Raw genomic sequence first — 21783 nt, 5'->3', positions numbered from 1 at the left:
CAATGTTATAAAATAATACATTTTTATTTCTGGTGAAAGTACCCTCCCATACTGCTCTTCTTTTAAATCAGAGGTTTTCTTGCAATTCTTATTTTTCCAAATACAATTCAGAATCAGCTTATTTCTTAAAAAACCTGTTGATATTCATGTTGGAATCATATGAACTTTATACGTTAATTTAGGATAAATGTTAAAGGAATATATATTTCCATTTCCTTATAATGTATAAAGGAACTCTGTAAGAATACATAAAAAGCTAGTAAGACTGGCTGTGTGTAGTTGGGGAGTAGTAGTCATGGGAACTAGGTAGATGAGGAATTGTAGAGGAAAAATAAAACTTTTCACTATCTGCCCTTAATATTTTATTTTTGAACCATCTAAATTTATTCCCTATTCAAAAATACATACATAACAAGGAAATAATAAAGGACCTTGCCTTTGAAAAAAGAAGCTAGCAGGCATAGGCTGGCAACAGTAGACATTCCTATTTCAGTTCTCTCCACATAGCTTCCCTGGTATTTTAAAGATGACCACAATGTTGAGAGACAGGGGCTTACAAACTCTCTGGTGTCTTCTTTCTGAAATCCCCTTACTGCACTGGTATTTTCAAGGCTAGTACCTTGCCAAAAATGAAGTATACACATGCTTCATGAGGTAAAAAAGGGGCTCATGGCAATTTTCATTTTTGTTTCAATAATATGTCTTTCTTTTACATGGCCCTACTCAGATATTAGAATTCTGAAGAAAGATAAGGTAACCACTGGTATGACAGAAGCAGGGCATAGGAGGCTCAAATCAATAGAGAATAAATAAAAACTAGGCCATTTCAACATGTTAGAAAAGAGAAAAATAAATCACTATAATAAAGAGCAGTCAACAAAAAATACATATTAAACAAGATGGATGAGTTCTAGCCTCTGACAATCACGAAGCAAAATCTGGTATGTGGGTGTGAACTCACAGACTTGGTTCCAATAGGAAATAAATCTGTAACAGAAAGATTAAAAAAAAAAAAGGATGGAAGCAGTAAGACTAAACATCACAGTTAGCAGAATAAATGTGAAAGTGTGTAACACCTCTGGTAAATATCTGGAGTATAGCCATTCTGTTTGGATGATTGAGAGTACAAATTCAAGTATAAACTGCTAGAGGATCCACCAGGGTTAGGAGAAATATTTCTGCATGCTAAAAAGCCTAACCAGAAGAGCCATCATACTGCCACACCATGATGAGCCGAGGGGTAGTTAAGACCTGGCTAAGGTTCTCCTCAGGAAGAAACTGAATTTGCTCTTAATCACAGACAAATGGTCAATTGAGGGCCCAGATTTCTGCTCCATATAGCACAGACTCAATAATTTTACTCTGTTAAATGTTTAAGGAAGGTGTAACCAAAAGCCCACTATGGCACATTTGAAAAAAAGAGAGAGAAAAGTCAATAAAGCTTCCATTAGAATGCCTAGCTTTAAGCAGTGTTGCTTCCTGATGCACCCTCCAAGTTAAACTATTTATGTAATGGAGACCAAAGTAATGGAATTAAAGTACTATATGGAATCATTCAACTATGAAACAGCCATAAGTTGGAGAAAACCTGTGTTTAAAAAAAATTGTAAGAGTTCTTTATGTAAGGATGTTAAAAGTGGTCTATTTGTCAAGTTTTTTTTTTCAATTTGACTCTTAATTTTGTTTGCAGCATTTCTTTTGACTAAGAAATATTTCTTTTTTATAAGTATTATAATCACATTCATTTTGCTTTCTTTTGTTTATATGCTTGAGCTATTCTTTATCAGAAATTAGATAAAAATTAAATTATATTTTGTTTCCCTCCTTTCCTTGCTTATAAAATTCTATGTACACTGTACTAAGAATTTTCACATATACATGATTCTATTCCCAGTTTTATTTCTGGTGTTTTGATGAAGCCCATGAATTTAATTGTAAATTTCTGCATTCATTTGTTATTAACTATAAATGCTCACCTCATTCTTTGTGGTTGACATGAAAATATGCTGCTCAGCTCTCCCTTCAAAAAACCTATTGTGAGGAAGTCCTGGCTCTCCCTGGGCTGCTGATCCCAGCCAATGACTGGGCATGGAAGCGGTACTAGAGCCAGCTCATTCCCGCTCAATGATTGACACTTCCAATGGTAATCTTGGTTTTGGAGCTCCCCATCATCCTAGCCAAGACTTTCTTGAAACTACATTGCATTCTGAAGCTCTTCTTACCCAATTCTCTGACTACCCCTGGTACCTTTCCCCTTTATCCTTCACAAGTATTTTCCTTAGCAAATGTATTGCACATATGATTCTGTCTGCTTCTAGGGAACCCAAAGTGACATAGTTGGCACCTGGAATGGTCTGAGAATGTATATGGTTAGATGAGGTTAGGAGACTGGCTCACTCATGCTCGGCAGGCAACGAGAAGCCCTTACTAAGCAGAATGTGAATCATGAAGTCCTTGGGATAGGTGATAGCTTAATTGCTGAAATTTCCATTAGTGGTGACCTGGGAGAATGTCCTGGTGGAGGGAAGCATCCTTACTAATGTGATAATTGAGGCATTTGAAGGTTTTGGGAGGAACAGCACCTACAGGGACAGTTAAGTCAGTGGGTTATTGCTCACTTGTATGACTGTCCTGTAGATGGAGGATGAGAAGCTGAAGGCAGTTAACAGACATAAGCTAAGTTTTACAGCCACAGGACCTTTTAGGACGCTTACAAAGAGGAACTATACCTTCAGTGGGTGGTAAGTTCAGGATTTAATAACTAGGGTTACAGAGCACCAGAGGTGTTTAAATGCTCAGCCAAGGCAGGTCTATTACGCTAAATTTAGGACCCTTATGTGAAGCCTGGGACTCTGAAACATGGGTTGGGAATATACACAGAACTAGTCTTGCTATTCACAATGGGTTGATAGGCCCCAAAATAATAGAGGCCAGGTAGTGGCACATAAGTGTCAGAGTTGCTTTACCATTAGAGTCTTGGGGGTAGCCAAAGGGTCTTAATGGGAAGGAGTAGTATACATAGATAATAGAATATGGTGTCTCTAGGGGAAAAATAGATGGGCAGCGAATTACTGTGCTACTTAACATATACAACCAGAAGGCAAGAATAGAGGAGCAGGAGGCTGAGAGCTGTAGCCCAATAAAGCACTGCAATTCCTTGCTGATTTCCCAGATCTGAGACTATGTTCAGATCTGGAACCCATTACCTAAAGAGTTAGCCAATTTCCCAAGAGAAAGAACCCTGCAATGCAATGACAAAGATATAGAGTACTGCAAAGCTTTCTTCAGTTCTTCCCTCATAGAGATTTACAGACATTTACTAATGTGATTGTTGCTGTTAAAAGGAGAGTAACCAGCCTTTTTGACAACTATTTGACATTGATACATGAAGACCCAAAGTATTTTCATGGCCTTCAGAGTGGGCGCACGCAAAGACTAAGTAGTAAATGGGGTTCTGGCCAAAGTAGGTTCACTATGTCCATGGATCCATCCTGTTGGACCATGCACCCCATTTACTACTACTTTAGCCAGGACCCTGCAGTCATTTCCTGAATGTATAATTGGAATTTATATACTTGAAAATTGAAGTTAGCCTCAATTGGGTCCTTTGCCTGTGGGGCAAGAGCTATCATAGAGGATGAAGGCCAAGTGGAAGACTTTGAAACTGCCTCCCTAACTGCCAAAGACGGTAAATTACAATTTCTTATCCCAGGGGTGATGGAAGGTATTAGTGCAACCATTAAAGATCCAAAGAATGCAGGGATAGTGGTCCCTATCATATCACTTTAATTCATTAGTCTGGCCCTGCAGAAACCAGATGGATCTTGAGGAATATCAGTACACTACAACAAGCTCAACCAAGCAGTAGCCTGGACCACAACTGTTGTGCCAGACACAGTTTCATTGCTAGAGCAGAGTAGTAAGGCCTCAGGTACATGTCTACTGGCTTAGTGAATGTGTTCTTTCCATTCTAATCAGAAATTGTGTGCATTCACATGAAAGAGACAAAAATACTCATTTGCTTCTTCGCTATGGTAACTCTTTTGCTGTGTCATAAAATAGTCTGAAGAGATCTAAACTATCTAAACATCCCATAGGATATTATGTTGATTATGTTGAGGACATCATGCTCATAAACTGGTTATCACACTGGAGGTCTTGGTGAGACATGCGTACTCTAGAGTATGGGAAATAAGCCATTAAAAGACTAGTAGTCTTGCCACTTAAGTACACTTTTTAAGAGTCCAGCAGTCAGGGCTATGACAAGACATGTCCATCAAAATAAAAAACACATTGCTGCATCTTGTATTCCCTACTGCAAAGAAAGAAGCTCCTAGTGCCTAGTAGGCTCTTTGGGTTCTGGGGGCAACACATTCCACACTTAGGGATACTGCTCTGGACATATACCAAATGATAAAAATGGTAGCCAGCTTTCAGCGGGGGCGTGGGGGAGGGGGGCTAAATGAGGGCTGTGCTATTAATGAAAAATGTATGGATTTGATAAAACAAAAAATGTAAGAAATAACAGTCAAAACAGAAGACAACTGGCAACTGGGAAAAGTGTTTGCAAAATTAGAGTTTTCATCCTTATTACACAAGGAATACTTCTAAATTACCAAGAAAAAGACAAGCCCTTAAGTTGCACAAGGATAAAAAAAAATAAGCAGGCATTTTAAGAAAAAAATTGAAAGTGGTAAGTAATTAGTTATGGCTTCATTCTCTAATTGACCAAACCACCAAAAAATTGTTTTTCCTCAAATTCCTTAGCTATGTATAAGAGTTTTCCAGAGCTTAACTATTATCTCCACAGAGGCCTTTTCTGACCCTTGCATGGAAGACGCCTCTTTAATGTTGCCTCCGTTTAGGATATTTGGAAAAGGGGGTAAGGAGGGAGGTAGTATAACCACTTTTCTTGTGTGGTCCACTCAACGTCTTCAGGTTCCATGTCCCTTCTTGCTACTCATTTCTCCAGCAATTTAGTCACTACTCACTTTGTCATACATCATTGGAGATTCATAGAGCAGAACCCCCCTAAAGGTGATACTGCTGTTTCTACAAAGGCCTTTGTATGTAAGATAGGGTTGAGCATAAGGAAGATCTTACTCCTTCTAGGTACCATCATATCAGGTTGTTCCGGTGTCTCTTATTTTTCTGAAGGGCCAGGAAAACTAAGCTGTAAAATACAGGAATTTTCCTGAATCCTCCAGCATTCTCTGGCATAAAAAAAAAGGGGGTCAGCTGAGACTACATCCCAGTAGGAGACCACCTGGTCTAAAATGAAACCACTCCCAGACTGGAACATGTTGACATGGCAGTAAGAAGCATCCATAGAAGAGGTTATTGCTACGTCATAAGGGCAAGTGTGTACCAACACCTTGAGTTTGCAGCCTGACATCTGGTCCACAGAGCAGCAATTTCAAAAGAGGAAACAATTGGCAGTTAGAGAAGGAAATGGCATAGCTACCATTGGAATTTTTGGTAATCTCAAAGAAAAAAAAAAGGAAACTGTATCGACTGAAAAGAAACACATGAAGTGAACAGGATAAGGAGAACTTTCGGCCTTATTTTCATAAATTGCAGAGAACTGTGAACATTTGTTATAGGGACATTTCGTGAGCAACTCAGGGACCCTAATGAGGAGATAAATGACTTGGAAGACTAGGATTTTCAAACATAACCAGTGAGGCAAAAATATTACTACTACCATTTGTATATACTATGACTCTTGATCATCCTGACTGGTGTGGTCTGAAGAAACACTTAGGACTACCAGACTGCCTCATTTCAAAAAAGAATGTAAGATGGCTTATAAGGCTAGGCAAAATATAGCCAAATAACATCATCTGAAGTATATGAGAAGGAAAAAGGGATCAAGAATGAGACTAATATAAACAATACCAAAGTGCCCTGTTTTCTAGATGGAGCACAAATTTAGCTCTTGCTTCTTATCGGCAAACATAAAAAGCCAACTCACAATGTACCTAAGATAGTAGCAAATGAACTGTTTACAAGAGGTGCAAATATTACAGTAAGGTCAGAATAACTTCAGACTCCACAAAAAGAGCCCATTGTGTGATGTAATCAACATTCCTACAGTTGACACAATGATGAGTTTCATAGAATTGTTTATAGAATGTCCTGCAATGCTAACCAATGGCTTCAAACTCAAGAGAAATTCTAGGGGTAAGTCAGGAAGTTACTGTCCAGGCGGTCTTTGCTAGGTGCTTGCCAGACTTAATTCTCAGGTACATTCTAAAGTATCTGAGGAAGTGATAAAAAGCAAATCCCTAACATTCCTTTATAAATACTGTTAACCACAGTCAAACTCACAGAAGATAGATATTAGCTAGCTGACGGTTCATGACTGGAGTTCAGCCACCCTAGGGTTCTAAGAAAAACTGTCTTAATGAGACATTAAGCTGGTGTAGGAGTGACATCTTTTAGGCAAACTTGAGTTTAATAATCAGTAGTTTCTGAGAGAATACTCTAGAGTTTGACCGAGGTTCTCTTTAGGAAAAAAAAAAATTGAATCTGTGCTCTCACACAGACAGATGGGCCATTTAGGTTCCAAAGTTCTGCTCAATATAACCTAGTCTTAATTAATTTTAGTTTGGAAAATGTTTAAGGAAGGCATAACAGTGGCCATTAAAAAATCTTTGCCCTCCCCGCAATTCCCAAAAAGCATCCATAGAAAGCCTAACTTTGAGTACTGTGGTTTCCTGATGTTCTTCCAAGTTAAATTATTTATGTAATGAACATTGAGGTATCTGAATGAAGTGACCTTCTGTGTAGAATTAGGAACCAAGTGAAATTTGGAAAACAGCTTGGTGTTTCTAAACTATAAGAGCTCTCTATATACCCAGGATATTAATTTTTTTTTGAGGCAGAGTTTCGCTCTTGTTGCCCAGGCTGGAGTGCAATAGCGTGATCTCGGCTCATTGCAACCTCTGCCTCTGGGTTCAAACGATTCTCCTGCCTCAGCCTCCCAAGTAGCTGGAATTACAGGCCCCCACCACCACACCTGGCTAATTTTTTGTATTTTTAGTAGAGATGGGGTTTTGCCATATTGGCCAGGCTGGTCACGAACCAGGACATTAAATTCTCATCAAATATTAATGTTCTAAAATGTTCCCACTTGTATTTTTTCTATTATGTTTTTGGGCATACTGAAATTTTAAATTTTCACGTAATAGATGTAGCAATTCTGGATTTACCTTTTAGCCTTAACAGGTCATTTCTCATCTAAGAATGAGATGTTCACCTACATTTTCTACTGTTTATTTTACATGTCTTTAAACCTATTAATCATTTTATATTTCTTTTGGTATACAGAGTAAGAATGGGAATTTATCACTCTCACCCCTCAATTAAGCAATAGTCCCAGGGCTATTTAAAGAATATTTCTACCTTTCCCCAGTAATGTGAAATCAAACCATTACCTTATTCTAATATCTTTTGATAAAATCTGTTTTTATGCTGATTCTATCCATTAATCTATATATTCTTGCATCCATTCCACACTGATATTAGTGTAAATAATATATCCAAATATACAACTTTACAAATCCCACTTCTCCCGTTACTCTAAAACTTTTCCTGGATATTCTGGCCCAGGTATTACTTCTTTATAGTTTCCATTTTTAATTTTGTAGTCTCTGAGAAAGGGCTCCAGTTCCATGTGCCTTATGCATTACGTACTTTGGAAGTACTGGATTCCTCAGACTTCAACTAAATGTTTTTCCATCACTTTGTCTCTCCCAGTGACAGGGTCTAGAGGTGGGGATAAAATGGAAGGGGTCAAGGAAAGAAAGTGCTGAATTCTTAGTTCTAGTTTTCTCTCAACACCAGAAATAACTGCCACTATTTTCTCCTGACTAACCTAAGAAAAACACATCATGCCACTCCCAATATTAGTTATCTTCAAAAACCTGTCTAGTCTAGTCTTATGAAGGAAGGCATATTCATTCCGTCTATCAGCAGGACTTTGACCCTGTGACTTGTTAAAAACAAAACAAATACTAACCTACTTATGAAAGAGCTACAGTCAAAAATCAAGTACTAAGGATGGATAGAAAAGAGAAAGACAAAGCCTAAGAATTAAAACAACAAAACAAACCAACAAAACTGCCAGATATAGAATCAAGCTTTATTTTTACTGAATGATAGTATAAGCTTTTAATATAACATAGGCATGTATAATATTGAAGATATTTTAATTTGAAAATAAAGGGAAAATACATTTAATTATTCCATTTTTCTTAGTTTTACTTTGAATTCCAAATAAGAATTTTAATACATTTTTGGCTGGGCACGGTGGCTCACGCCTATATCCTAGCACTTTGGGAGACCGAGGAAGGTGGATCACCTGAGGTCAGGAATTCGACAACAGCCTGGCCAACACGGTGAAACCCCGTCTCTACTAAAAATATAAAAATTAGCCAGGCATGGTGGTGCACACCTGTAATCCCAGCTACCTGGGAAGCTGAGGCAGGAGAATTGCTTGAACCTGGGAGGCAGAGGATGCAGTGAGCCGAGATTGCGCCATTGCACTCCAGCCTGGGCAAGAGAGCGAGACTGCCTCTCAAAACAAAACAAAACAAAAGCAAAACAATTTTAGTATCTTTTTTACTAAGATGTAAAATGTCAGGTGCTCAGGACAATTTTACTGCTGAATCCCTGAAAGACAAAGGGTATTTTATTCCATTTCATATTTCCCCCAAATTGTTCATAATGGTTACTTTTGAACATAAATGTCTGCGTAATTGTAAAAGAAATTATTCCATATATATACATATATATATACACACACACACACACACATACACACACACACACACACACACACACACAGACATATATACAGAATTTGGGTATTCCAATATTGTTATATTTAGGTTCTGGTACCACATTGAATGCCAGTTAAATAGCTTCCATTTGTGTCTCCTTGTTTCTACTATGACTATTAATATGGAAAGGCAGAACAAATAGTGCCATTAAATTTTTGTAAGATTTAAAATCAGAAAATCAGGCCAGGCACAGTGGCTCACGCCTGTAATCCCAGCACTTTGGGAGGCTGAGGCAGGTGGATCGCTTGAGGCCAGGAATTGGAGACCAGCTTGGCCAACAGGGTGAAACCCCAACTCTACTAAAAATACAAAAATTAGCCAGGTATGGTGGCAGGCACCTGTAATTCCAGCTACTCAGGAGGCTGAGGCAGGAGAATTGCTTGAACCCAGGAGGCGGAGGTTGCAGTAAGCCAAGATCACGCCACTGCACTCCAGCCTAGGTGACAGAGTAAGACCCTGCCTCAAAAAATTAATTAATTAATTAAATAAAATAAGAAATCTATTCTGGAAATCAGTCATCAAACACCACAATTTTGGGAATATAGTTTGGACGACCACTTCCTTTTCTGGAAACCATTTTTAGAATAAGAAAATGAGCCAGAATACACCTTGCCAAATAAGTTTCCCCAAATCACAATTATGATTTGGGGAATGAACACAAGAATGAACAAATTAAGTCATAAATGTATGCAATCATTTTTGAATGTCTTTGCAGAGAAATATTCAAAGTGGTAAGATGGATTGAACTGCCAACCAAAATTGTCAATCTTTATTTCAGTCTTCACTATTAAGCTAAAAAGGTAATTTTTCTCTTGAATGATGTGAAGAATTGAATTTCTTTCAACTGTTCCAAAAATCTGTAAGTACAATACTACCTAATCTCCTGTTATGCAACAGACTCCCATGTGGTACATCCAATTCATTACACAAAACACTGAATTGTCTGCAATGCAAGCCATGGAACACATCCAGTTTATGATATCAATGACTATATCCAGGATGCATTCCCGTTTTAAGGTTTTAGTATAAAGTCATTCGAGAATAGAATAATAAATGAACTTGGGTCCCACATCCTTGTAAAACATTATTAATTTAGATGGGCTGAATTTTTAATGCTTCTATTGGCTACCCACAAAAATGGGAAGTTTTGGCAAAGGAAAGGAGGAACGATTGAGGTAGAATTCAGTCAAGCAAGTACCTTTTAAAGCCAGATGGTAGATTTCTGACTGTGATTTCTATTACAGAAAAATCTGAATTTAGAGAACCTCTGTGGTTTTATCTCAACTTTAGCATATCTAAACATCCTGTTAAAAATCTTATTCTAAAGAATGGTATGATTGAGTAATGCAAATGGTCAGTATCTGAGTCGATGCAGAAAATAAAATATTAAGACATTTACCGTATATATAGGTGCTATCATTGTGGCAACTTCCACAATAACCTTTTAAGACTAATTAAGAAAATCAAATATAAAAAATATTTTTAACTACAAATAAATTATTTTTAAATTATACAGATTATTATATAATTATATGTAAAAAATAGTGCTTTATATTAAATAAGAACAAGTGATGAAGAAACAGGGCTCACCAGGTAAGTTTTAGGCTTCAGTTCAAATAGGAGAGAAAAGCATATATTCACTGCGGCATCCCTACTGAAGACATAAGTGCTTCCAAAATACACAGGGAGACTGGTCATCTTTCTTTTTCAATTGTTTCATCAAGAAGAATCTTTTTCAGGTGATAAAACTTACAAGCTAAATTAAAATGCACTCTACTCATTGGCAAGCTACATGAACAAGAATAATGTGATCACAGTACTTGGAAGTTTTTGATTTATAACTATACTATTCTCTACTTATAAGGCTGCAGTCTAGGAGGCAGAGCAATGAATCATTACAATTGTCTATCTGGGAAATGTCAAAAGATTAAGTAAGGGCAAAAGAAGAGAGAAAAGGAAAGAACACACATCTCTGTCCAAGAAATATTCCTCTATTAATGGAGGTATATCAGTAGCACATAAATCCAGTGCTAAATAAATAATAAGTACATTTTTAAAATCTTCAAGCAAAATCACTAATGAACCATAATGCTTAAACTTCCTTGGTGGAAAGCAGATGACCCTCTGAAGCTCTGATAACTAAATGATTCCTTATCCAACTATCATTTGGTAACCTACCCCTACATATTAAGCAATTTAAAAAGCAAATTTAAGTTGAGGAAATAATTAGATATTTGAACCAATCATGAATGGATCCAGCATTTTTGAAAAAGAACACATATAGTTTAATTGATACTTTGCCAATACAAAAATAAGCATCCACAGAATGTTTATTTACTGTTTAAATTACTCCATATTTTCATATACTGTGAACAGAAAATATATTTTACCCCACATATAGTAAAAGCAAACAAGTGCAATCTTTCAAACATTAAAATCATAATCAAATCTGTACAACAGATAAATAAATGTATACCTCTAACAGTTAGCTTGTAAAAAAAAATCAAACAAAAAGCAAAAACATTTATTGCCCAAATTCACCAGTTTACTTAAAATTCTACTTATGGTAATACAGCTCAATCGTAACAACTTGCATGTTTACTACACTGCACAAGTTTAGACTGATAAATATTTAAAATAGGAGGTGGGTAATAGGAAATACCAAATGGCTATAAAGAGCTTTCCAAATATTGGAAATAATATACGAAAATTAATTAGTGGGGATAACATATTAAATGGATCCACAGGGTAACTGGTATTACACTGGTATAGCTTGAGGAAAGGAAACAGGTGAACGTTTGGATTGGAAAAAAAATTTTGGCTTTTTTATAAAACGAAGCAACAATAACATCAACAATGACAAAACCCTGTCATGGAGCCTCAGAACTATTCTGTGAGACAAAGTGTACAAAGATTTAGGCTTGCATACCCGAAAACCACAGTTAGGAAGAAAAATCATTTCAGGAAACAACATCAGAACAAGAACACATATAAATTAAAGGCATACTGTTTATCATTCCACTTCATTGCACATATAAGAAAACAATACTGCCGTCATTCTTGAGTAAGAAAGTTTCCAATGAAAGAGGAAGTTCCACAATGAATACAGGTGCAGACAGTCTTATTACCACAAATTTAGTTATATCAAAACACTTGGTGGTGTCACTAAGTTAATTAAATTATCTATACTTTTTACTGGAAAGGTAATCATTTCCCTGCCTTCATATGTTAACTTAAAATCACTTACAAATGGAAATATAGATTCAGTAGAAAAGACTTCACATGCAATCCTATACAATGCATTCTGGTTTTTTGTTTGTTTGTTTGTTTTAGTATTTCATATTGGATATGTACATTTCCAATATATACAACCACATATGTTCAACAGATGTCACAGAACTGTCCTCTTGCCACAAACGTTTATATTTACATACACATTTATATCTCCAGATAGATGCTTTTCTCTTCTAGAGACACACAAAGGTAGCCTGAAGAGTTTAGGTTTTTTAGAATTTTTGGAACCTAATGTTTTGATTTATCTTGAATGGATGATAAGATGAGGAGTCCACAAAAAAATGCAGCTATACATGCCAACCTTTTCAAGAGAGATGAGTTATCTTTAGGAATAATAATCTGTGCAAGATCATTAGTGATCTGAGAAATTTCATGTGCCACACAAACAAATATGAAAGTGCTGACAATGATGTTGAGCATAGGGTTTCCAGGTATCAGTACCAAGATACCCCTTGTGTCCGCTGCCAGCCATATGTGATACTGGCAAATAAATAGCTAGGAGAAAAAATATTTAAGTCAGATATTTATAGAGGGTCCATGAATAAATTACAGTTTTCCCTAATTTAAACAATTTGGTTGCATAATAACATTAGAAGGCTTTCCTAAAACCATTTTATTCTGTCTCACTACTGGCCCTGAAAAGTCCACTGCAGTCTACTCCTTAGAACTCCAACTGCTAATACAATCTCTCTTATAAATGAGACCAAAGAAAATAATAGAACAATTATTCAAGAACTCAAAGAGGAATTTATTTTCCCTATTTTAAGAGACAATTTAATAAATCCTATACTCTAAAAACTCTAAAATATATGTTGTTATTACAATATAAATTGTTTTAAAACATTCTATTTCAAATAATAAAGCTTAGACTACTCAGAATACATTTTAAAACCTACTGTTCAAACTGATTTTGTAGATAATTTCATATTATGTATCTTACACAAAATGTAATGAGTTTATACTTTCTCCCACAATTTCCAATCATAATAAGGGTAAATTTTATTATGGTATGCATCAATAAACTGAATTCCAGTAATATATTTAATTATGGAGATGAACAAAAAATCAAAATCCCCTCAGTTTGATTTCATTTATATACCTGGTCTAATATTTTTCTCTCTTGGTCTCAGCATCTTGGTTGTGCTTGAAAGCTCAAGACAACGTAAATAATATTTTGCAAGTAATCTATATCTAGTCATTTAAAAATAAGGCTTAAAAACATTCCAAAATACTTTAGTATTGTTGAAAGTTCTAAGTCTTTTCCCTGTAATTCCATAATAGCTTCAGTTTAGAAAAAAGTACGTCCGATTTTCATACTCACATATATGTGTGATATTTACACACACACACGTACATACACAAACATGAAACACCTGGCTGTGTAAGATAAGCAAAATATTAATGTACCAACCTCTAATGAAATTTTTCCAAACCAAGCAAAAAATGAACTGTAAACTGAACGGGCATATCCAGGGATGTTTCTTATTAGGATGAAGGCTAAAATCTAAAGAAAAAGCACAAAAGCAAATATTAATAATCTCTTTATTGAAAAGTATTTTGTATAAAGCTTTCTTTTAAATGATAACCTTATTCTTTATGTTTGTGAACTTGACACATATACAACAGTCTTTTTATATTCTAAAAGTATTAGAAAGTTATTTTTGTTCTAAAGTCTACCCAAACTGGATTTCTCAACACATGGTCGGTATGCTGCATACCAATGAACATTTTAAGTAGTACATGGCTGAACAATTTTATGTATACTGGAAAAATTACAGATTTGCCTAAGGCCCTTTGTGTAGAAAAAGTTGCTATCATATTTATGTAGCAACACTTCACAAAATCATATAATTTTGCTGCTCTCATAAAGTATCTGCTTGGTTGACAGTCATTCCCTCTCTTGACTCCCTTCAAAATCCTCCTTCCGCTGACAGCCATGATAGTACGGGAAATGGCATGGCTTTTAACATGTCTTCATGTTTGCTCTGCATGGCCTGGCGAATGATGTCTTGAACTATATTCACATGTAATATATTTTCCTCTCTGGATCTTTTCTCTCCCGAAAGAATCTCCAGCTTTTGGGATCCTGGCCTTTACTCCTCTCCCCTGTCCTTTTGTACCAGGTGGAACAATCTTTCATTTTCGGTGGAACAATCTTGCATTTTCTTTTTATTTATTTATTTATTTATTTATTTATTTAAGTTCTAGGGTACATGTGCACAACGTGCAGGTTTGTTACATATGTATACATGTGCTGTGTTAATCATTGTCTCACATCCAATAACCAGCTTACCAAGCAAAGAATCCTTGCCTTAGAATGTACCCTCCTTATAAAAAGCAAGAAACTGTAAAGAAAAAAAGTTATCTCCACTTTCACAACTACTTTCCAGAAACTTTCTCTTACAAAAGGATTGACAAATCTGTTCACACTTCAGGGAAAAACTCATATTCAATGTTGATCAACCTGGGCATTTTGTCAAAGGATCTAAGAAGTCTCTAGGATGCATAAAAGATGAAGGAGGAGGAGATAATATGGGAAAAAGGAACCAAAGTGAACCACTCAGGTATAATTAAATTGAGTGATTCTCATGGGCAATAGCATCAAAAAGACTCAAGTTTAAATCTAGTCTTTTGCTTGTGTTAGTCCTGGGACTTGTGGCAAGGCACTTAATCTTGTGGGTCTTTTTTTTAATTTAAACAAATAGAGATAAGCTTTACTTTGAAAGGTTCATGTGAACATTAAATGAGAAAACATACATAAGGTACTTACTATAGCACAGGTTGTGAGTCATTTAAAGAAACATTGTAAATAATTAATAGTATAAGTGATATACAGAGTGGTGAAAATCATGAATGTGAGACCTAAACAAAGGCTTTAAACATAAAACCATTTAATGAGTTATTATAATTAAAGTATTGCATAAGTTGTACAACGCTAAAAAGAATGTAGGCTCCATAAGAGTAGGAACTATGTCTGATTTGGTAACCACTGCAGCCCTTGGCATAATATCTAGCATGTAGTATTAACTTTTTGGTTTTGTTTGTTTGTTTGAGACGGAGTCTTGCTCATTGCCCAGGCTGGAGTGCAATGATGCAATCTCAGGTCACTGCAACCTCCGCCTTCTGGGTTCAAGTGATTCTCCTGCCTCAGCCTTCCAAGTAGCTGGGATTACAGGTGCCCGCCACCACGCCCAGCTAATTTTTGTATTTTTAGTAGAGACAGGGTTTCACCATGTTGTCCAGGCTGGTCTCAAACTCCTAACCTCAGGTGATCCACTGGCCTTAGCCTCCCAAAGTGCTGGGATTACAGGCGTGAGCCACCATTTTCTAAGGGCAGATTAAGTGAAAAATACTGAGCTACATCATTTCCATATATTAAATACAAGAACCCTTTGAAAGAGATTTTAATATCCCTATTACTACAGAGAAAGGAAGGGCTTAGAAAGATGAAGTAACTTCTCTACATTTTCTGGAGTTCAATCTCAAATCTCTCTGCCTCTAAAAACCATTTTCTTATCAAGAATTAAGATGTAGAAATTTCTCTAAATCAAGATAGTACCTGTACCACAGAAACAGACGGATGGAGTTCATTGCACTCTGCTTTGTTTTTACAACTGCTAGCCCAGATGGAATAGGTCTAAAACAAAAAATGTATGGAAAAGTTCAAAAAAGCAAGTCTGGAAGAGGCATAAGCCTCACAGTGTTTTTTTTTTACAGTTCTTTATTTATAACATTATACTTCATTATGCTATGTAAAAACTATCAGTAAAAACTGCTTGCAAGTTTGCTCATCACCTGTTTTGGTATGTTCAACTGTCCAAACATAAGAAAGCACAGAGGGAGGTGCACAAGTCTGTGCTTTTCTGGAAACAGTGATCAAAAGGCAGTGATGGCTCTCCATATGAAACACCTTACATTACATTTTATCCCAAATTTATTGTAACTTTTAAAATTCCCGTTTAATTGAGCTCTTATTTATTCTTCATTTTTAACTTATATATAGTCTCTTTAGAATTTAAGTCCAGTTAGAAAAATAAGGAGATATACATCGCCTCAAGCATTTAACATTACCTTGATTTGATCATTATGCATTGTATGCTTGTATCAAAATATCACATGTGCCCCATAAATATGAACTAATATGTATTCATAATTAAAAACAAACAATTTTAAAAAATTATTGAAACTATTTTTATAGATAAAAATATAGTTTATCTTGGCAAACATTTTGCATGCATTTGAAATAAATGTGTATTCTGCTGTTATTGCTTACCTAACTATTCTAACATCAGGTCAAACTGACCGTGTCCTTAAGATATTCTACAACTTTACTAAATTTGTCTAGCTATCCTATCAATTACTGGGAGAGAAGTATTAAAATTTCTAAATATTAAAAAGAAAAATAAGGAGAAAAAAAGATTTATTATTAAAAATAATTGATTATATTTCCATATCTTAATGTTAATATTCCATACCATTTAGAATTTTGGAAAGTTTTCAAAACTTACCAAGAAAGAAACTACTGAAATAAACAACAGAAAATTTGAAATTTTGTTTGAAAAAAGAGGTTCACCCTTTCCTTCAGAAAGTATTTGACGCTTCTGCAAAGCCAGATAAATAAAAGCAAACAGCATTCCGTGGAAAACTACCTGAAAAGTAAAGAGAGAAAATTTGTTTTAAACAGTTACTTTTCAAAAAACAGGAAAAATATTTGGTTAGTGAGGAATATATGAATAAAAGTAGGTAGGTTAAAAGCTTAAAGTTTGAAGTGTCTATGAAGGACTTCAAGAGTGAAACTTCAAGAAATGAAATAAAGCCGATGATTGTTAGAAACCATCAGCAATAGACAAGCAAGCATCTCTTGGAACAATATGAGATAACACTGGTTGATTCTGAGCAGTCTCAGTGGCAAGTGAAGTAATAAAGACAATTTAAAAATAATAAGGAACTCTCCTACAGACATATGATAAAATTTAAATGCACCCAACAAAGATGAAACACATTTTATATCAGTCCTTTCAGTCAAATAAAACAAAGAATAACACCACCAAGTCATAATTCTGAAAAGAAGTGTACGCTCATAAAAGTGAAAAAAATATGGTAGACCGGAAAGTACATGAGCTTTCTCTTTTTAAACAAGGACTTAATGTGAACTATCATTGCAATAGACTGAACATTTCCTTCCACTCAAAATCGTAAGTTGAATCATGTTAATCCCCAGTGTGACAGTTTTGGAGGTAAAGCCTTTGGTTGGTCATTAGGTCAGAGCCTTCATGAATGGGATTCATGCCCTTTAAAAAAAAAGACCCCAGAGAGCACCCTTGACCCTTGCAGCACATGAGGACAGAGTGAGAAGTCAAGTGTCTATGAAATAGCAAGTGGGCCCTCACCAGACCAAATCTGCTGGTGTGATTTTACACTTCCCAGCTTCCAAAACTGTAAGAAATAAATTTTTGTTGTTTATAAACCACCCAATCTATGGTACTCTATTACAGCAGCCTAAATAGACTGGGACAGTCGTATCATAATACACTGCTCTAATGAGAATGTTGAGAATTTAAAAATTATTTGATGTGAAGACTTTAGCAAAGATTTTATTCAGATGTGGTTTTGAAATGCAATGTAGTACACTGGAAAAATGCATAGGGGTTGGAAACTAGGAAAGGCAAAGAATAGGCACTAAGAAAACATTTATTGGAAAAAAGAGATCAGTCAAAAAGGAAAGGAAAAAAGGAAAGAATGAAATAATTAATAGTTATTATCAGTTTTCCAAATGCTGTGCTAGATTTACATTTTCCTGGCCAATTGAACCTTAACCTTTCTTCAAGATCAAGTTCATAGACTAATACAAGACACTGCTCTTTCTTCTTTGCACACTTCTACCACTAAATCTATATTGCATAGTTAGTAGCCTCTTATAATAGTAATCTTGGGTTTTAAACTAGACTCTGAAAGCTTCGAAGCCTGCTGAGATGTCTTCTTTCTTTCTCTAATGTATACTTCATGGCATCAACATCTAGGGCACATATTGAAACTCAATAAATATTGTTTTGAATGGCTGAAGCATATATACAACAAGTCACCTATAAATCAAAATTATAAGTCAGACAAAGGCCATGTTATAGATAATATTTTAAAATAATATTTCCCAGCAGATATATATATACACATGCATACCCTTTCACTGCTGTAAAGAAAAGAGTGCAGGGGGTAGTGGACTGCTGGACTGCTTTGATTTACTAAATCAACATCTTTATTTATTCTGAAACTAAGTATAGATAGATCAAAAATTTCCAATCATTTTCCAACAGTATAATTTGAAATGACAAAATATCACAAAGTAAATACATACATAACGGTCTAACCTCCATCTGAACCACCATTCATATACATTCCCTTTCAGTTCAAAACACTTGGACAATGGCCAAAGAGAAAAGATCTTCTCAAATGCACCCTGAAAAAAGGAATCCAGAAAATAAATTAAGATGGTACAAGTCAATATTTGCTTTGCAATTCTATTACAGATTATAGTTTTCTGAAGTTTGGATTATATAAGAGTCATTCACAATGTTAAAATTCTGTTTTATTTCATTTGAAAATATCACTTCATTTGAAATGTATTTCAAATGAAATTTTAAAAATTTGAAAATAAATTTATCTTCTAATGACCAAAAAAGATGACTTAAAACTTGGTAAACTTATTTTCATTTCACATGAAAGGCTACTGAGAGTGTAAAATTTTCTTAAGCCCCCAAATCAAAAAATCTGGTAATTAGAAAATCATTCTACCTAAGGTTTTTAATCTCACAGACAAAATAACTAGTATTTACTCATCAAACAGAAAAATACAAAATATTTCAGCCAGTATGGTATCAGTATCCCAAATAACAACTGTTAAAGTTAAAATATAGTTATCATTCTCCAAATGTCCTCAATAATCTACAATTAACTATTTGAGTTAAAAGAGTCCTCTGAATTAGTCACCTTACTCAATCAACCATACCCAAATTCCATTACCAGCCTTTGAAACAAAGTTTACAGTTTTACTCTGATAAAGTTAGTGAATAGTACCCTCTTATGAATCTGACAGGTTGGAAAATCTGGGATTGAAGGGGCAGATGTCTTGGGTACATTCCTGCACATTAATGAAGTCTTTCAAAGAAGAGAACAAAACCCTCAATTTTCAGAATAAAGAATCACAATGAACTCTATCAAGGAAAGCTCCATTACTAGACCTAATGCTACGGCATAAAAAGTGTAACATCGTGATTTTTAAAGAGGCTATTAAAAAACAAAGAGAAAAGATGAAAATAATATTATATTTTAGATAATGCTGAGTCTTTAGGTCAGAAGAACTTTATAATATTATTTTAATAAAACGCAACCGTCTCCATTTAACCACAGAATTTAAAATGCACATAGCATATTAAAAATAGGTTATATCAAAATCTATGTGTCAGAAAATTAAGGATGATTTTTACTAAGAGTGGCAATCTGAAGTCTGAAGTACTTATAGATCATATATATGTGTGTATATATATGTATATATATCAGCATGAATATAGATATTCACTAGGTATGTACCTCTCAGATAAAATATATGATTTTATGGATCATACATATGTAACATATCTATGATTATATATGATGTATACACAATTTAAAATTTTATCTCTAATTAAAAATTTCTTATTATGTGATCAATAAACAAATATTAAGCACTATTTTGTGAAAGACAGTGGGCTTTTTGTTCTTGTCCAGGGGTCAACACTGACCCAACGCTAGGGAAACATTCTTAATCCTTATATTGAACCTTTAGTCAGCTTTTCTTTCTTTCCCTCAGCAGTATCCACAGAGTGTTGGGAATTTTAATGAATAACTGTCAAGAAGTTGTTGCCCTAACCTGGCTATTTCCTTATACATTTCTTAGTTGTTTCCTTATTTATCTTCTATAAAGAAGCTTGAGTGTCAAGCAGAAATAGTAGTGCTTTAAAGACTTTTAAGTATAAAAACAAATATAAAAGTCTACAAAAAGAAAAAAAAAACCCAAACGGCATAGGATTATACATACACACAAAATGCCTATAGGGCACTTCCTTCCACCTGATACAGCCAGGTACAAAACAGTGTGTTGAAGATGTGAGTACACTGCAGAATATGACACAACTACAGGCATTTGAATTAAAATGTGTTGTTATAAATATCATGCTGCCCAAATAATACGTATGCCTGATGGATTTAACCAGCAGGTAGCAAGATTGCCATCCTGTTAAAATAACAGAAAATCTCAACCATCAGAATAGAAAAATACAAGGTTAGAGCTAAAAAAAAAATGACCAAAAGTTTTATTTAATTAAACATACTATAGATACACAAACCCCTTTGCTCCTAAGTTGGTTGTACTAACTGCTAAAATTTTACTCTATGTAGTTATGGAAAAATCAATACTTTGATGCAATGAATAATACACAAACTAGCTGCAAATTCTGTCAAGAAAATTTTGATCTCCACTTAGACTAGTGTCTTATAAGAAGCATTCAATAAATGTTTGATTGATCAAAGTCAAGTAAAACGGATCTTGAACAACTGCCAGAGGAAGAGCTTTAACTTGCTCTTACAACAAAAACAGTGGTAACAAAGTATATATATCTCAAAATAACTACACTGAGTACTCAGCTTCAGAGTGACACTTTTATTACAGTCATTAAAAAATGAAGCTAAAAAAAAGCTCTGACTCTTCTCACATGCTTTAATAGACTTGAACTTTAAAATAAAATATGAAAAAATATAAACTGAAAAGATTGTACAAACCTGAGAATATGCCAAAAAACATATGAATAACAGCAAAAAGCCTAGTTTCAACAGTAAGCCAAAATGCCAGAAACAATTTCCTAAGAGAGAAAATATTTAATTTACTAAAAAATAAATTTATATTAGACAACATATTAAATACTCTCTATTTGATATATGTACATGCTGAATAGTTCTTAAAATAATATAAGAATGCTTACAAGAATACACAAAATATATCCAGTTAGTATAAATTACAAGTAGGGCAAAAAGAAAAACAAAGGATTCTTGCTAGGCATGAGGCTATAAAGTATAACTGATACCCTGTACACCTGCTGTTCATCCATTAGAAATGTATTTTTAAATGCCTCCTGGATTCAATTATACTTATTCATTATTCAAAGTTACAGCAAAATCTGGAACAAGATGTTCAATATAATTCTAACAAACACTCCTGTTGAATATGACTTTGGTGATATTGCTTAAACATTAAAGTTCCAAGGAGAAAGCTTAAACCCCCTAATGGATTAGAGTTTAAACATAAAATATATTTTAACATATGCATATTTAAAATTATGTGTTAAAAGTTTATTGATAGTTTATTCGATTAATATGCTGGGTTTGTATAGAGAAATTAAACTACAGAGGCTGTCCAAAGACACTACTGGACTTTAATAGAGGCTAGACCTCAACTCATTCCTGAAAAATTATTTGATGTTATATTGGAAGCCAATGGAAAAATATTTTTGACACATAATATTTGGTTGAAAGAGTCAAGTTAAATACATTTTTAAAAATAAAACATTATTTTCCAAAAAAGGAAGATTTTATTTTAATGATATGATCTTGAGGG

At 34.6% G+C, this 21783-nt stretch overlaps 1 protein-coding gene and 1 long non-coding RNA gene across 9 annotated transcripts in view, besides 1 other annotated feature; one reads left to right on the top strand and one right to left on the bottom strand.

Annotated features, from left to right (window-relative positions):
* The window catches only part of CASD1 (CAS1 domain sialic acid O acetyltransferase 1), a 124364-nt gene that overhangs the window by 66046 nt on the left and 36535 nt on the right, over positions 1-21783 (bottom strand). For 4 of the 8 annotated variants that reach the window (NM_001363427.1, NM_001363426.1, NM_001363428.1 and 1 more), the window contains 6 exons: positions 20952-21031; positions 18493-18594; positions 16649-16789; positions 15700-15777; positions 13552-13644; positions 11108-12635 (listed from right to left, as the gene is read on the bottom strand). In NM_001363427.1, the coding sequence (NP_001350356.1) occupies positions 12369-12635; positions 13552-13644; positions 15700-15777; positions 16649-16789; positions 18493-18594; positions 20952-21031 (761 nt within the window). In that variant the 3' untranslated portion in view covers positions 11108-12368. Of the gene's footprint in view, positions 1-11107; positions 12636-13551; positions 13645-15699; positions 15778-16648; positions 16790-18492; positions 18595-20951; positions 21032-21783 lie in introns of those variants that run through there. The other 4 variants (XR_007060138.1, XR_007060140.1, XR_007060139.1 and 1 more) reach the window with 1 other exon arrangement.
* The window catches only part of LOC105375404 (uncharacterized), a 34852-nt gene continuing 22700 nt past the window's right edge, over positions 9632-21783 (top strand). Inside the window, exon 1 of the long non-coding RNA XR_007060433.1 lies at positions 9632-9705. This is a non-coding gene — a long non-coding RNA (uncharacterized LOC105375404). The remainder of the gene's footprint in view (positions 9706-21783) is intronic.
* Positions 11968-12017: an enhancer, noted in NCBI's record as "active region_26288". NCBI's record gives its function as "activates an Ori minimal core promoter by ATAC-STARR-seq in GM12878 lymphoblastoid cells {active_cell/tissue: GM12878}" and the evidence as "EXISTENCE:reporter gene assay evidence [ECO:0000049][PMID:35858748]".

The sequence above is a fragment of the Homo sapiens genome, chromosome 7 (assembly GCF_000001405.40).
Source record: "Homo sapiens chromosome 7, GRCh38.p14 Primary Assembly".
Taxonomy (NCBI): domain Eukaryota; kingdom Metazoa; phylum Chordata; class Mammalia; order Primates; family Hominidae; genus Homo; species Homo sapiens.
Note: the sequence above shows the minus strand (reverse complement) of the source record. Positions and strands in the feature narration are given on the sequence as shown.